Source organism: Homo sapiens, chromosome 10 (assembly GCF_000001405.40).
Source record: "Homo sapiens chromosome 10, GRCh38.p14 Primary Assembly".
NCBI classification, from domain to species: Eukaryota; Metazoa; Chordata; class Mammalia; order Primates; family Hominidae; genus Homo; species Homo sapiens.
Window position 1 is genome coordinate 343,299 of NC_000010.11, and position 14,201 is coordinate 357,499.

The 14,201-nt window shown below is 51.9% G+C and overlaps 1 protein-coding gene across 9 annotated transcripts in view, besides 1 other annotated feature; it reads right to left on the reverse strand.

Moving 5' to 3' along the window:
* DIP2C (disco interacting protein 2 homolog C) overlaps positions 1 to 14,201 on the reverse strand; it is a 415,468-nt gene that overhangs the window by 69,098 nt on the left and 332,169 nt on the right. For all 9 annotated transcript variants that reach the window (NM_014974.3, XM_005252427.5, XM_005252426.4 and 6 more), the window contains 5 exons: positions 13,128 to 13,208; positions 6,033 to 6,156; positions 5,343 to 5,464; positions 1,701 to 1,812; positions 1,511 to 1,620 (listed from right to left, as the gene is read on the reverse strand). In NM_014974.3, coding sequence (NP_055789.1) covers positions 1,511 to 1,620; positions 1,701 to 1,812; positions 5,343 to 5,464; positions 6,033 to 6,156; positions 13,128 to 13,208 — 549 coding nt within the window. The remainder of the gene's footprint in view (positions 1 to 1,510; positions 1,621 to 1,700; positions 1,813 to 5,342; positions 5,465 to 6,032; positions 6,157 to 13,127; positions 13,209 to 14,201) is intronic.
* Positions 1,286 to 2,485: an enhancer, noted in NCBI's record as "BRD4-independent group 4 enhancer chr10:390524-391723 (GRCh37/hg19 assembly coordinates)". NCBI's record gives its function as "activates an origin of replication core promoter dependent on BRD2, P300/CBP, MED14 and CDK7 cofactors, and independent of BRD4, by STARR-seq in HCT116 cells {active_cell/tissue: HCT116}" and the evidence as "EXISTENCE:reporter gene assay evidence [ECO:0000049][PMID:35650434]".

Here is a 14,201-nt window from a genome sequence, read left to right on the forward strand (position 1 = left end):
ACATGTCACAAGTTGATCTGAAGTAGAATGTCACCAGAGCTAAACTGTAAAGGGACCAGCACAGAGCCTTGTAATAACTGGGGAAATCCAAATGCCTGGCTCCCCATCATTCATTCATCACTCCAGCAAGAGGTGAGAGAACTTGGAGGTGGGAGTCCTCCCACTGTAAAACGTTCCATCACTATTGGAAGTTCTGCCTGGGAGAAGGTTTCGTAACTGTTTTACTATATTCATACAGGGGAACGTAGAATTATTATAAAATGTAAAATGTAAATAATTCTTTTTAGCTTGCTTTTAAGGCAAATTTTTGTTTAAAGGAGAAATGAGACTGAATTTATACAACATCCATCCAGACTCCTGCCTCCCTGGATTAGGAGTTAGTCAAACCCTGCCTCCTAAAATTACCCACCCACTCAGATCAGCAACTAGAGCAAGCCTGCCCTGAACTGCTGCTCTGTGCAAAGCACTATTTCTAGGTGGAGAATTCAGTTCTTCAGCTTAGCAAATACTAAATACCGAGAGCTTGTGATCAGACACTGTGTTAAGCGCTGGAGATGAACCGAAGAGTAAGACACAGCCCTGCCCTCAGGATCCAGTGGGAATTCACAGACGAGGGCATGGACAACCGTGTATGGGGTGTAAGAGAGGCTGCTCCCAACACCCTGGCTGTGGGTCACAAAGCCAGCGGGGCCTTTGCGGGACTTCAGCAGAGAAACAGGAATTGACACCACTTAAAGAAAAGCAGCCAGGAACGTTCTGATGGTCTACTCTACGTCAGACGCTGAGACTATAAGCGGGCCATGAAACGGTATGACTGGAAGCAGCTGCTTCTCTTCTGGCTATGACAGTGGGAGGGTCACAGCTAACTTCAGACCACAGTAAGTAAATCATCTTGATCTGAAAACATTTCTTTTCAAAAGCTTTTGAAAAATTATTTTATTTCATATTGTAGCTACTTTGGTATTCCACCTCAGTTCTACTAAGAGGTGGACAGAGCGTGAGAACTGTGCGAGGTAAAGCCAGCTCACCCGTCAGACCCACAGATGGGGGCAGACGGCACACAAGGCTGCGAAGTCCCCAAGGGTGGGGCGGGGGCGGGGCGGGGGGGGGTTTGCACGGCACCTCGGCAAGGGCGGCATCTGAGCTGAGAGGGTCATGATGATTTCTAATAGAGCCCAGGTTAAAACGCTAGAAAGTGCAGTGTGCAGAAATTTATCACAGAGCGTTCGGATTTGAGAACCAGCAAGAGAAAAACATTCGCAGTGTTCTACTGTCAGCTGAGACAGTGTTCACATAAAAACATACTTGGGGCATTTGGACAGAATCAGTCAGCCTGGTTAAGGATGGAAATGGTCATACGTGTCATACCGTGAATGAAACACGTATGTATACCTCTTTCCACATCTCAGTCTGACTACACGAGAGGCGCTGAGAGCCAGCACGTGACCTGCCACCTCCAGCACGCTCCGCAGTTGCCTCCATGGCCACCGCCCGCAGCCACCCCCCTCACCTTTACGCCAGCTAGCATCCCAGTTGTGGACACGCTGAAGTCGAGATATGCAAGAGTGTCTGGGTTGCAAGGTTTGCAGATCTGGGCAGGCCGCTTCTTTGGCAAATCATCTGGAGAGGAACATGACTATCAGCAGATCCAGCCTGAGCAAGGCCGTGAGCAAACCACCTTCTGCAGCTAAAGCACCAACCTGTGTCCAGGATGAGGGGCCACGTCCTGACGTCCACAGCCGCCGCCGCCTCCCTGGACCGCAGCAACTTACAGATCAGCTGTGTCGTCATCAGACAGGCAGAGCGACTCACCTGGCATCAGAGAGCGAGAATGGAGCCATGAACGTGGACCCAGATGAAAGCGTGCTCACTTCACACGGGTCTCCTGCTTACTACATACACTAAAACCATGTAGCTTTAACGGGCAGATGAGGTTACCGAGCCCTCCTGCTGGCTAAGGTAGGACAGAGCTAGGAGTCTAGTTGTGGAGGCACGGGGGCAGGGCATGCGGCCTGAAGCTGCTGCATCTGCACTTCCTGGGCCCAGTGCATCCACAGCGTTGTGACATGTGCAGAAAAGAGCTCACTGCTCACACCATTAGATCTGTTCTCCTGGAAACCCCACACACACACACCCAGACACATCGCGCACAGTTCTCCCGGAAACGTCACACACACCCAGGCACATCGCGCACAGTTCTCCCGGAAACCCCACAAACACCCATCCCAGACACACCGCGCATAGTTCTCCCGGAAACCCCCCACACCCCCAACCCAGACACACTGCGCATAGTTCTCCCGGAAACCCCACACTCACCCAACCCAGACACATCGCGCATAGTTCTCCCGGGAACCCTACATACACCCAACCCAGACACATCACGTATAGTTCTCCCGGAAACGTCACACTCACCCAGACACACCGCGCATAGTTCTCCCGGAAACCCCACACTCACCCAACCCAGACACATCGCGCATAGTTCTCCCGGGAACCCTACATACACCCAACCCAGACACATCACGTATAGTTCTCCCGGAAACGTCACACTCACCCAGACACACCGCGCATAGTTCTCCCGGAAACCCCACACTCACCCAACCCAGACACATCGCGCATAGTTCTCCCGGGAACCCTACATACACCCAACCCAGACACATCACGTATAGTTCTCCCGGAAACGTCACACTCACCCAGACACACCACGCATAGTTCTCCCGGAAACCCCACACTCACCCAACCCAGACACATCGCGCATAGTTCTCCCGGGAACCCTACATACACCCAACCCAGACACATCACGTATAGTTCTCCCGGAAACGTCACACTCACCCAGACACACCGCGCATAGTTCTCCCAGGAACCCCACACTCACCCAACCCAGACACACCGCGCATAGTTCTCCCGGGAACCCCACACTCACCCAACCCAGACATATCGCGTATAGTTCTCCTGGAAACGTCACACACACCCAACCCAGACACATCGCGCATAGTTCTCCCGGAAACGTCACACACACCCAGACACATCGCGCATAGTTCTCCCGGAAACCCCACACTCACCCAACCCAGACATATCGCGTATAGTTCTCCCGGAAACGTCACACACACCCAACCCAGACATATCGCGTATAGTTCTCCCGGAAACGTCACACACACCCAACCCAGACACATCGCGCATAGTTCTCCCGGAAACCCCACACGCACCCAGACACATCGCGCATAGTTCTCCCGGAAACCCCACACTCACCCAACCCAGACACATCGCGCATAGTTCTCCTGGAAACCCCACACTCACCCAACCCAGACACACCGCGCATAGTTCTCCCGGGAACCCCACACTCACCCAACCCAGACATATCGCGTATAGTTCTCCCGGAAACGTCACACACACCCAACCCAGACACACCGCGCATAGTTCTCCCGGAAACGTCACACACACCCAGACACATCACGCATAGTTCTCCCGGAAACGTCACACGCACCCGGACACATCGCGCGTAGTTCTCCCGGAAACGTCACACGCACCCGGACACATCGCGCGTAGTTCTCCCGGAAACGTCACACGCACCCAGACACATCACGCGTAGTTCTCCCGGAAACGTCACACGCACCCGGACACATCGCGCGTAGTTCTCCCGGAAACGTCACACGCACCCGGACACATCGCGCGTAGTTCTCCCGGAAACGTCACACGCACCCGGACACATCGCGCGTAGTTCTCCCGGAAACGTCACACGCACCCGGACACATCGCGCATAGTTCTCCCGGAAACCCCACACTCACCCGGACACATCGCGCATAGTTCTCCCGGAAACCCCACACTCACCCGGACACATCGCGCATAGTTCTCCCGGAAACCCCACACTCACCCGGACACATCGCGCATAGTTCTCCCGGAAACCCCACACGCACCCAACCCAGACACATCGTGCATAGTTCTCCCGGAAACCCCACACGCACCCAACCCAGACACATCACGCATAGTTCTCCCGGGAACCCCACACTCACCCAACCCAGACATATCGCGTATAGTTCTCCCGGAAACGTCACACACACCCAACCCAGACACATCGCGCATAGTTCTCCCGGAAACGTCACACGCACCCGGACACATCGCGCATAGTTCTCCCGGAAACGTCACACGCACCCAGACACATCGCGCATAGTTCTCCCGGAAACCCCACACTCACCCGGACACATTGCGCATAGTTCTCCCGGAAACCCCACACGCACCCAACCCAGACACATCGCGCATAGCTCTCCCGGAAACCCCACACGCACCCAGACACATCGCGCATAGTTCTCCCGGAAACCCTACATACACCCAACCCAGACACATCGCGCATAGTTCTCCCGGAAACCCCACACTCACCCAGACACATCGCGCATAGCTCTCCCGGAAACCCCACACGCACCCAACCCAGACACATCGCGCATAGTTCTCCCGGAAACCCTACATACACCCAACCCAGACACATCGCGCATAGTTCTCCCGGAAACCCCACACTCACCCAGACACATCGCGCATAGCTCTCCTGGAAACCCCACACGCACCCAGACGCGTCGCGCATAGCTCTCCCGGAAACCCCACACGCACCCAGACGCGTCGCGCATAGCTCTCCCGGAAACCCCACACTCACCCAGACGCGTCGCGCATAGCTCTCCTGGAAACGTCACACACACCCAGATGCGTCGCGCATAGCTCTCCCGGAAACCCCAGACGCGTCGCGCATAGCTCTCCTGGAAACCCCACACGCACCCAGACGCGTCGCCACACTTTCTAGGAGTGGCCACTGTGCAGGTCTCCAGGACCATGCCAAAAGGGACTCAGGTGTGGGTAGGACAGGTGCATTCTCTGCCCACACTGTTCTCCCCTGTACTTCCTCCTTCAACGAGGAAAATATAGCTGAATCCTCTCAAACTCCTCCAGCTGTAGACGAAGGAAAACAGATCTATACTTTCAAAAAGGAGCAGGAAACTTCCACATCTTGAGGAGAGGGCTTTGGAAAAAGCCCTGCCTCTTCCCGTGGTCGGTCTGCTCAGCTGGGTTCGTGAGGAAGCCCGAGGAATGGTGGTGATGCCCTCTCTTGGGAGCCGTTTTCTCCAGGGAAGACCCTGCAGAGGCTACCATCCAGCCTCTGCCTCCACACACGTTTACATCTCGCTTCTAGACCTAGACTCTAGGCTCCCTGCAGGTAGAGACCCTGTCCTGACCGTTTGACTCCAGACACACCCCGGCTTCCACAGCCAGCAGCTGCCCCAAGAGATGTCAGAGTCTGCGCGTTGCAAGCTCCACACTCAGCTCCAGGCAGGTGGAGGCCCCGACATTCCCAGGCATGTTACCTCCACAATCATCTTGACGGTAGGCAACGTCGTCGCGATGTTCTGTGGGTGCGGGGGACGGACGGTTATTGGCACACAGCCTGCGTACAGGCAACCATAAAACGCTGCTATCAGGTCTATTCCTACACAAGGAGAGAAACATCATCATTGAAGCAGACCACGCTGCTGAGTGCACACTCTCCCTGTCAGCATCAATGCTTGTCTGGGGCAAGTTCAACAGGGAAACGAGCAGCTGAGCTTCTCACAGCCTCCGTCATCCTGGCGGGTTTTGTCAGCTTTGGCGGTCACTGTCATTTACCTGTCCTTTCAGACATGAGGTGACGAGGCAGCCTGGAGGTTTAATGTCTACATCATTTTGCTAAGGAATTACCCACCTTTGTAACTGTGAATTTAGTCAAGATTTAGGTACTATTAAGTGAATTACCTGAGGTATCTAATAACACAAATTTGGATATAAAAGTCATTGAAAGCATCACTTTATTGACGCCTCTCACAGTAGCACATGCGGCTGGTGCCTGTGAGTGGTCGTAGCCAGACACAAACGGGCTGGTTAGCATCCAGCTGGATACAGTGCAGACTCCCAGCCATGACGCGACCCTCGGCTCAGGCACCAGCGGGTGTAAGGGACCTCCTCGCACCGCGGCTGACCGGCTTGCCATCTCTCAGGGGAAGCCCACCCTGCGCCTGTACCTGGGGGGTAGACCAAGGCCACGTGGTCGCCGTCCTGAAGGTGGCCCCTCTCCATCAGCATCACGGCGATCTTCTCAGCTCTCTTGTGCAGCTGCACGCAGGTCAGCGAGTTCGCTATCGCACCCTGCGGGCCGATCACAGGGACAAGCACATAAGATTCCTTCAGCAGAGCAGCTTGCAGAGAGCGCGCACGCGTCATACAACTCACTGGCGCAAAGCATACATCACTGGTTTTTAGAACAAGCACAGACCTGTGCAACCAACATGACAGTCAATTTTAGAACGTTTTTAGCCTCCCCCAAAACTACATATACGTTAGAGGTCAACTCCATTTTCTTCCAACTAGGTAAGCAGTGCAGACCAAAGAAACATCTAGATATATTTAGAGTAACAAGCAATATTTTAAAAAATGATTACGTGAATTAAAAAACGGTAGAACAAAAAACCCTGGCAATTCTGGGACTTGTGTCATTGTCGTGGGCAGTGGGAATTCCTAGTACACCTGCACATCGGAAGACTAATTAAAAAATTTTATTTAGAAAGACCACATCAAAAATCAAGGAAGTCAGAAAGCAAAAAACAAAAGCAAAATAAACAAACACACCCTACAGGAATGAAAAGAACTATCAAACGCATTTTCACATAGACTTTAATGTACAAACAAATAGAAAACATATTTGTGCAGGAAAATACCTTACACGAGGGTTGTGAGGGAAGGTGAGTTGCAAGATATATACCAAGAAACATCGCAAGAGTGTGGGATTCGCTGTTTTTTGAGACAGGGTCTCTGTCTCCCAGGCTGGAGTGCAGTGGCATGATCACTGCTCACTGCAGCCTGGACCTGCTGGGCTCAAGCAATTCTGCTGCCTCAGCCCCAAGTAGCTGGGACTACAGGTGCCACCATCATGACTGGCTAATTTTAAAAAAAAATTCTCTCATAGAGATGGGGTCTCCCTACATTGCCCAAGCTGGTCTCAAACTCGTGGCCTCAAGTGATCTTCCCATCTTGGCCTATTTAAGCCATAAAGACAAATGTGAATAAATTACAAATTATAAGCACGTAACTAACCGAAACAAGCTTTTCCTGAGGACACACTTTACAGTCCTAGTTCCTTTGCAGCACTCTCAGATGTGAAGACGGCTTCTACAGTCATTTAACAACCTCTTCTTTGTGATCAGATTCTGTCTCACAGCTATTAACAGGGTGAGGATCTTCCCTCAAGCAGTGGGCAACTGGACTGCAGTCCATGGGGTCAGGAAGACTGCAGAGCCGAAGAGTGACTGAACACCCGGGCTCAGGAATTTTTTTTTTTTTTTTTTTTTTTTTGAGATGGGGTCTCGCTCTGTCGCCAGGCTGGAGTGCAGTGGCGCGATCTCAGCTCACGGCAACCTCCGCCTTCCGGATTCAAGCAATTCTCCCGTTCTCCTGCCTCAGCCTCCTGGGCAGCTGGGACTACAGATGCACACCAACACGCCCAACTAATTTTTGTATTTTTAGTAGAAATGGGGGTTTCACTATGTTGGCCAGGATGGTCTTGAACTCCTGACCTCATGATCCGCCCGCCTTGGCCTCCCAGAGTGCTGGGATTACAGGTGTGAGCCATCATGCCCAGCCCAGGAATTCTTATGTGAGTCACAGCTACAAAGATGAATGCATGAGTGTAGGGATGGAGCGCGCGGCGGGCCTGGCAAGGCTGTCGGGACCGGACGCTGTGATTCAGAGATTGGGGACAGAGTGCACAGCGAGCCCGAGATGGCTGTCGGGGACCAGACACTGCGATTCAGAGTGAAGGCGCAGGGAGAGAGGCCCAGAGGGGCTTGCGGGTAGCCGAGTTAGTGCAACCAAAAGGACGCCGCACGGACGAACAGTATCTGGGGCTATTCATCGGCGATGCTGGGAAAAGCACGTCAGCCTCCCAGCTCGAAGGGCCCGTGTCAGAAACACATGGCGGGGCACGGTGAGTGGAAGATAATGTCTCAGGAAGCATCAAGATGTGAACACCTGACCCTGACCTCTACCAAAACGTCCACAAGACAGCCGATGAGCGCAGCGAGGTCTGTGGGGAAAGTATACTCTCCCTGAGGACCTCTGCGCCAGGGCCAGGACCAGGGCTGCGGGGAGGCGGCCCACGTCACTGCCCGGTGGGTCTTCAGACCCTTCCTGCCGCCTGTGGCTGGTCTCCTCCATGGAGAGGATTAGCTTACATTTCTCTGAATTCAACCTTCTCATCCCACACATTTTCCTTGATTATTTCCCCACTTAGAGGACACCTAAAAAATTAGAAAACAGAAACTGATTTAAAGTAGAAGAGCCCAAGAGCAGGTGGCAGCAGAGATGGGCAGAGACAACAAGGAACGCAGGGCTGGAGTCCGGGAAATCCTGCTGAGAAGACAGATTTGGGGGCCTTTGAAACTGGACTGTTCCTCTGAGCATTTACTCTTAGAGGGGCTCCTTGCCACCTGTTCACAGCAACCAGCCCACCGGCTCCTTGCCGCCAACGTCCTCTGAGCTCTTCAAGTGAACATGGGACAGAGACACCCAGCACGGCCAGGCTGGGTGCTGATGGGACCCATTCAAGTCCACCCCGACTCCAGGGGCAGGTCTCCCAACAAGGAAAACCAGCACACCACCCATCGCTGTGAGCATGGACGCGTCTCAGAGAAGAGCCCTGGCAGAATCAGCTCAGCCCCCGCCCCGCTGAGGGAGGCCCCGACCCCCACAGTCCATTCTCATGCCAGGCCTGCCTGCAGCAGCAGTGCCCAGTCTGGTTTGTTCGGCTTGTGGAACTGTTTCTTCCCCATCTCTGGAGAGCTGAAGCTGATTTCCTATCAAACACCCGCTTTGCTGTCAGATGACAAAGCCTGTGGTTTGCCCACATTCTGGGTCCTGAGATTTGAGAGGCTCAGATGAGACACAGCCAGCAGCCAAGAGTGTCTTTGAAAATGTTTTGATTCTGGTGCACAGAAATCCCCACCTGTAGGTACTTGCAAAGCATGAGTGTAACATGCATGCTGTCCTTTATCTTTGATAACCCTGTGAAACACAATTTTCTCAATGCTGGTTGATGTCTTTCAGGGCTGACATAAAAACAAACAGCAAAGCTTCCAGGCACGCTCCACGAGGACGGTGCCCTTCTCAGGTGTTAGGTCCCAAAGCCAGCTCACAGGGTGATTTAAATTAAGTTCTTAAAAAGCCCCTTGAGATAGTGCTGTGCTGGAGACAGGCACACGATTTCACAGCCGGTCGGACATGAGCAGACACCCCTCGCTCCATGGCCAGGCAGGGCCATGGGTCACACCAGGTGGGCGCCTTTCTTGCCTGGAAAGGACGAGGTGAGTGAACACTGGACCCCACCGTTGGCTGGGAGGGACAGTCGCTCCTGGCTCACGTTGCAGGCTGGCAGTCCCAGGCACCTGCAGCGACTGAGCAGTGTCCCTTCTTCCTTGCCACCTTTCCCCACCCCGTGTGGTTGAACGGGACACAGCTACACCACACGGCAACTCCACACACGTGACACTGTTCCTCAGCCTTGCTCCCCAGGAATCCTAATGCAGCCTCTACCCCAGGAGAAATGCCAGTAACTTTTGCTTGCACTTTCCATTTTCCCATGAACTCCGTGTTAAGAATGTGATGCATTCTCGGCGAGTGTCCCATAAAGCAACAACCATTCACCGCAGGTGACAGTCGTCATTCTCTGGCATCCTCATCAACATTCACTGGGGTTTCCGTCCTGAAACCCACCAGCTAAGAAGAAGGTTCTAGGTAAAACCATTTCATCAGAGAAATGAGGGCTGGCTTTTCCCCCACAGAAGTGCTGGGAGGCAGCATGACCGGAGGGGCACACAGGGAAACACAAAGAGTCTGCCCTTGTCTAAGGACACACATTCACTGTCAGTTTCTGTAAACTTGGGACCATTTTAACGTTTCACATTAAATCAAACAACTTGGGGGAAAAAAAACCCAAGAAGAAAAAGCCAAACTAAATTTATATTTTAAAATTCTAAAGAAGGTATAAGTTAAAAAAGGTCAAAAGAGTTGGCTACAAACCCATTGGTTCAACCATTTAATTTTTTTCGAGATAGAGTCTTGCTCTGTTGCCCAGGTTGGAGTGCAGTGGCATGATCTTGGCTCACTGCAACCTCTGCTTCCCGGGTTCAAGCGACTCTCGTGCTTCCAGCCTCCCAAGTAGCTGGGATTACAGGCATGTGCCAAAACACCCAGCTATTTTTTTTTGTATTTTAGTAGAGACGGGGTTTCACCATGTTGGCCAGGCTGGTCTCAAACTCCCGACCTCAACTGATCCACCCAAAGTGCTGGGATTGCAGGCGTGAGCCATGGTGCCTGGCCTCCACCACTTTAAATGAGCTTGTGACTACACGGCCAGCAAGACCGGGCCAAATTCATCATCAGCAGAAACGTGCATCCTTGATGGAAGCAGCGGCTGGGGGGCTGGTGTACGTGCTGAACGGACACTTATGGTGTGTGGAGTGATTCATCACTGGAACGAATTTCATGTTTCTTCTTCCTTTTTAAAATCTTGCTTTTAGAAAATGCATGATTCTGTATGTGGCGTGTACTGAGTTTCCGCTGGACGGTGCTGAACAGGGAAGCTGATTTAGGTGGGGAAAGACACTATGAATGCCGTGAGGACGATGCTGCTACCTTGGTCCAGGCCCAGCATCTCTTCAGTGTGCATACGAGGCAGCAGAGGAGCGAAGGACCCATGCCTGATCTGATGCTTGGCGCAAAATAACACAAGCAATAGCTCAAGCGTGCCTGCCTCTGTGTCCAGCGAGCCTTGGAAACAGCTCACACCTCCAAGGAAAAGACATCCTCAGGCCATGCCTTCCACACAGTCCTAAGGTAAATCACTCATGGCTCTGATCCCTACATCTGGCCCCCATCGGATTTGCAGTTGATCCTAATAAAGCCCTTTTTAGAGAACCGGAATCATTTCCGGGAAATACATTTTCCCTGAAGATCCAGCATCCAGCTATGCAGGTGACCACAGGTGTTCAGGGACACTGGGCTGTCCACAGGGCCAGATAGACCAGATGCCAAGCCCAGGACCATGGCACCACCCAGCAATCTGAGGGATCTTCCCCAAATCAGGCACAGCTGGAACAGCTCTATTTTCCTCCTCCTGATGGTACATGTTGCCCATGAACGTACCCAAATCATGTCTGAATCTTTGCGTATATGGGGGTCTGCTACTTCTTGAGCTGCCCATCAATACCTCTAGATTACTGGACACATGCTTGTGCAACCCCCACACATGGGAGCAGCGTGTCAGGCAACATCAAGGCAGAGATTCAGGGAGACTGAGAGCTGACTCTGCCCCTGACTGCTTGCAGCTTGCGGAGGGGTAGCCACCTCTGTGAGGAAATTAGGGGAGGGAGGAAGCACTTTCAGCAGAAGGGATCTGGGGTGCCGAAGGAGGCTGGAGTTAGTGCTGCAGATTTAGGTCACCACGTTGGAGATGATACTGGAAATCTCTAGAGAACTGCCAAGACCACAGGGAAAGAGGAACGAGAAGTCACAGGCAGTTTACAGGAGAAACACTACTGGGAGAGGACAAAGTCAGACAAGCAGAGATGGGCAGGAAATCAAGACAGCACCCAAGGCCGGCGAACCTGGCGATCGGGTTAGCAAAGGGGGTATCATCCATATTCACAGGCTGAGGAAGGGTCCAGTGGAGAAAGATGAAAAGTGGAAGGTGGGCATTTCAGATACAGGGACCCACAGCAACTCCAGTCCTCAAGATCTCCGGCCCCCACACCTGAGCTCTCAGCGTGGGGCAGGGGCTCCGTCACAGCACCAGCGAACGAGGGCCAGAAGGTGGTGGCAGAAACGGGCCTTCCTGGTTTTAAAGCCTCTTCCTGGGAAACAGTCTTGAGCAGATACAGTGAACGACCAATGGCTGGGATCAACTCAGCATCCGTGACAACGTCAAGACGACACGCGCTTCTCTGGCAGAGGAGGAGGAGAGGTTGTTCCTATGAACTAAGCCACGTGCAGAGAATGGTCTGATAACTGAAACTCAAACCAGAGAGTCGGGGAATAATTTCGTGATGCTGCTGGCATTTCCTTTTGTCTTCAATCTGCTGCTTCGCACACTAAGATTTTGATACTCAGCAATTCTAAACAGCCATGACTTTTTGAAGAGTTGCAAGTACCTATACTTGTCAAGAAGACTTACATTTTTCTTCCATTTTTCAAGCTTTATTTCCATGGTAAAAAGTAGTAACAAGCATATTAAGATTTTTGCATTTAATTTTTCTTGTTAATAGTATTAGCTTGTTTATTTAATGCCTTACTCTTAAGTACTACGGTGGAACAATATTTGATGAGTGTAGTTTTCTCATGTAAAGTGTAAACAGGAAATTTAATTACAAAGTGGAAATGATTTTCATTCCTGAGTCTGCAATAAACATAACTTCTGGTGTATAAAAAAGTGGTTTAGGGCTCGGTGTGGTGACTCACGCCTGTAATCCCAGCACTTTGGGAGGCCAAGGCAGGTGGATCACTCAAGGCCAGGAATTCAAGACCATCCTCGCCAACATGGTGAAACCCCATCTCTAAATACTAAAAATACAAAAATTAGCCAGATGTGGTGGTGGGCACTTGTAGTCCCAGCTACCCGGAGGCTGATGCACGAGAATTGCTTCAACCAGGGAGGTGGAGGTTGCAGTGAGCGGAGATCGTGCCACTGAACTCTAGCCTGGGCAACAGAGCGAGACTGCCTCAAAACACAAAACAAAACAAAAACTAGTTTAGTAATCAAAATAAAAATGCAAATATCTCATAGACTTACGATTTCTCTCTTGCAGATATCATTACTCATTTTGGGGGAGAAATATTGTAAATAGGTTGCTAAAATATCTGTACACACAAATAGGTGTAAATAACTGCACAAATGGTTACGTTTAAAAACAATCCCTAGGTACAAAAGTCTCAGTCAAAATAGCAAAACATAAAAAGAATTCCCATAAGACTGAAGCAAAAGGATTCAAAGAAAGAAGCAGGAGCGCTCCCAGGAACCAGGCTAGGCCCCTTGAGGCCAGTAGCCAGGGAAGGCCAGCTCCGCGCCTCACCCGACAGTTGAGCAGCGTGTAGAGGATGTGGTCCGGGGTGGTCTGTGCTCTCCACTGCAAGACCTCTGAGAGGAACAGGAACTGGAACAGAGCACGGGCATGAGGATCAGGCTGTGCGGTTGGATCAGGCTGTGCGGGCTGAGGTGGGGCAACCTGGATACTCAAACCCATAGAGGCTGAGTGCTTTGGGTCTTAAAACCGCATGCTTCTCTGCAGGGAGTTGAAGACATGCATGCTGGGAAAATCCCCGTCACACACGACCACAGGACAAGCAAGTGCCCACAGCTTTGTTCCTGCAGGGACTTAGGTTCACAGCACCCGAGTCAGGGTCACAAAGCAAAGGGCTGGTGCTGCACCCTGGTGTGAGAAGTTTTCTGAAAGTCTGCCCAAGGATGGGAACCATTTCCCTCATAGGCAGGAGCAGCCTGCACAGAAATCCCTTCTCCTGGGGCTTCCAGAAGATGCAAAGCGGATTTTGGTGGCTACAGTGAGAGAATCAGATCTATCTGGTTTTAAAAAGCGGGATCTAATAAATTTAGGTTTCTAGAATGGCAATACCCTGATGGCATGAAGCCACAAATTAAACAAACCACATGTGTGCTACTGAGCTGGTCCACAGTAAAAGGGGCAGCCTTATTTCACATCAGGGTACAGAAAAACCCACAGATAAGGTTTCATCCGTTTCATCAACATTTCACGGTGCTGATTTTGCCCCATTTCCTAATGGGCCACACACAAGGGCACACTTTTGGCTGTGGGAAACAGGAAGGCCGAACGGTTCTAATGGGGACCGTGGACGCACACGGCACAATGTGCAAAGTCTGGGCCTCGGGAGTTTCTCCCACGGCTTCTAACGCCACTGTTAGGAGGCCTGGCCCCCTAACCTGGGTTTTGAACTGCTTCTTAGAGTCCACAGAGCACAGGACAGAAGCCTTGCTGCAAGCTGCTGTGGGCAGGGTGGGCTTTGAATCCGGGCTGGTGGGGAAACTAGAAAGGAGTAGTTCAGGGGACCGTGCGCGGGACAAGGACTGCCAGACATTTGCCTCGGTCCTGCGAGTCGTGGGACTGGACACC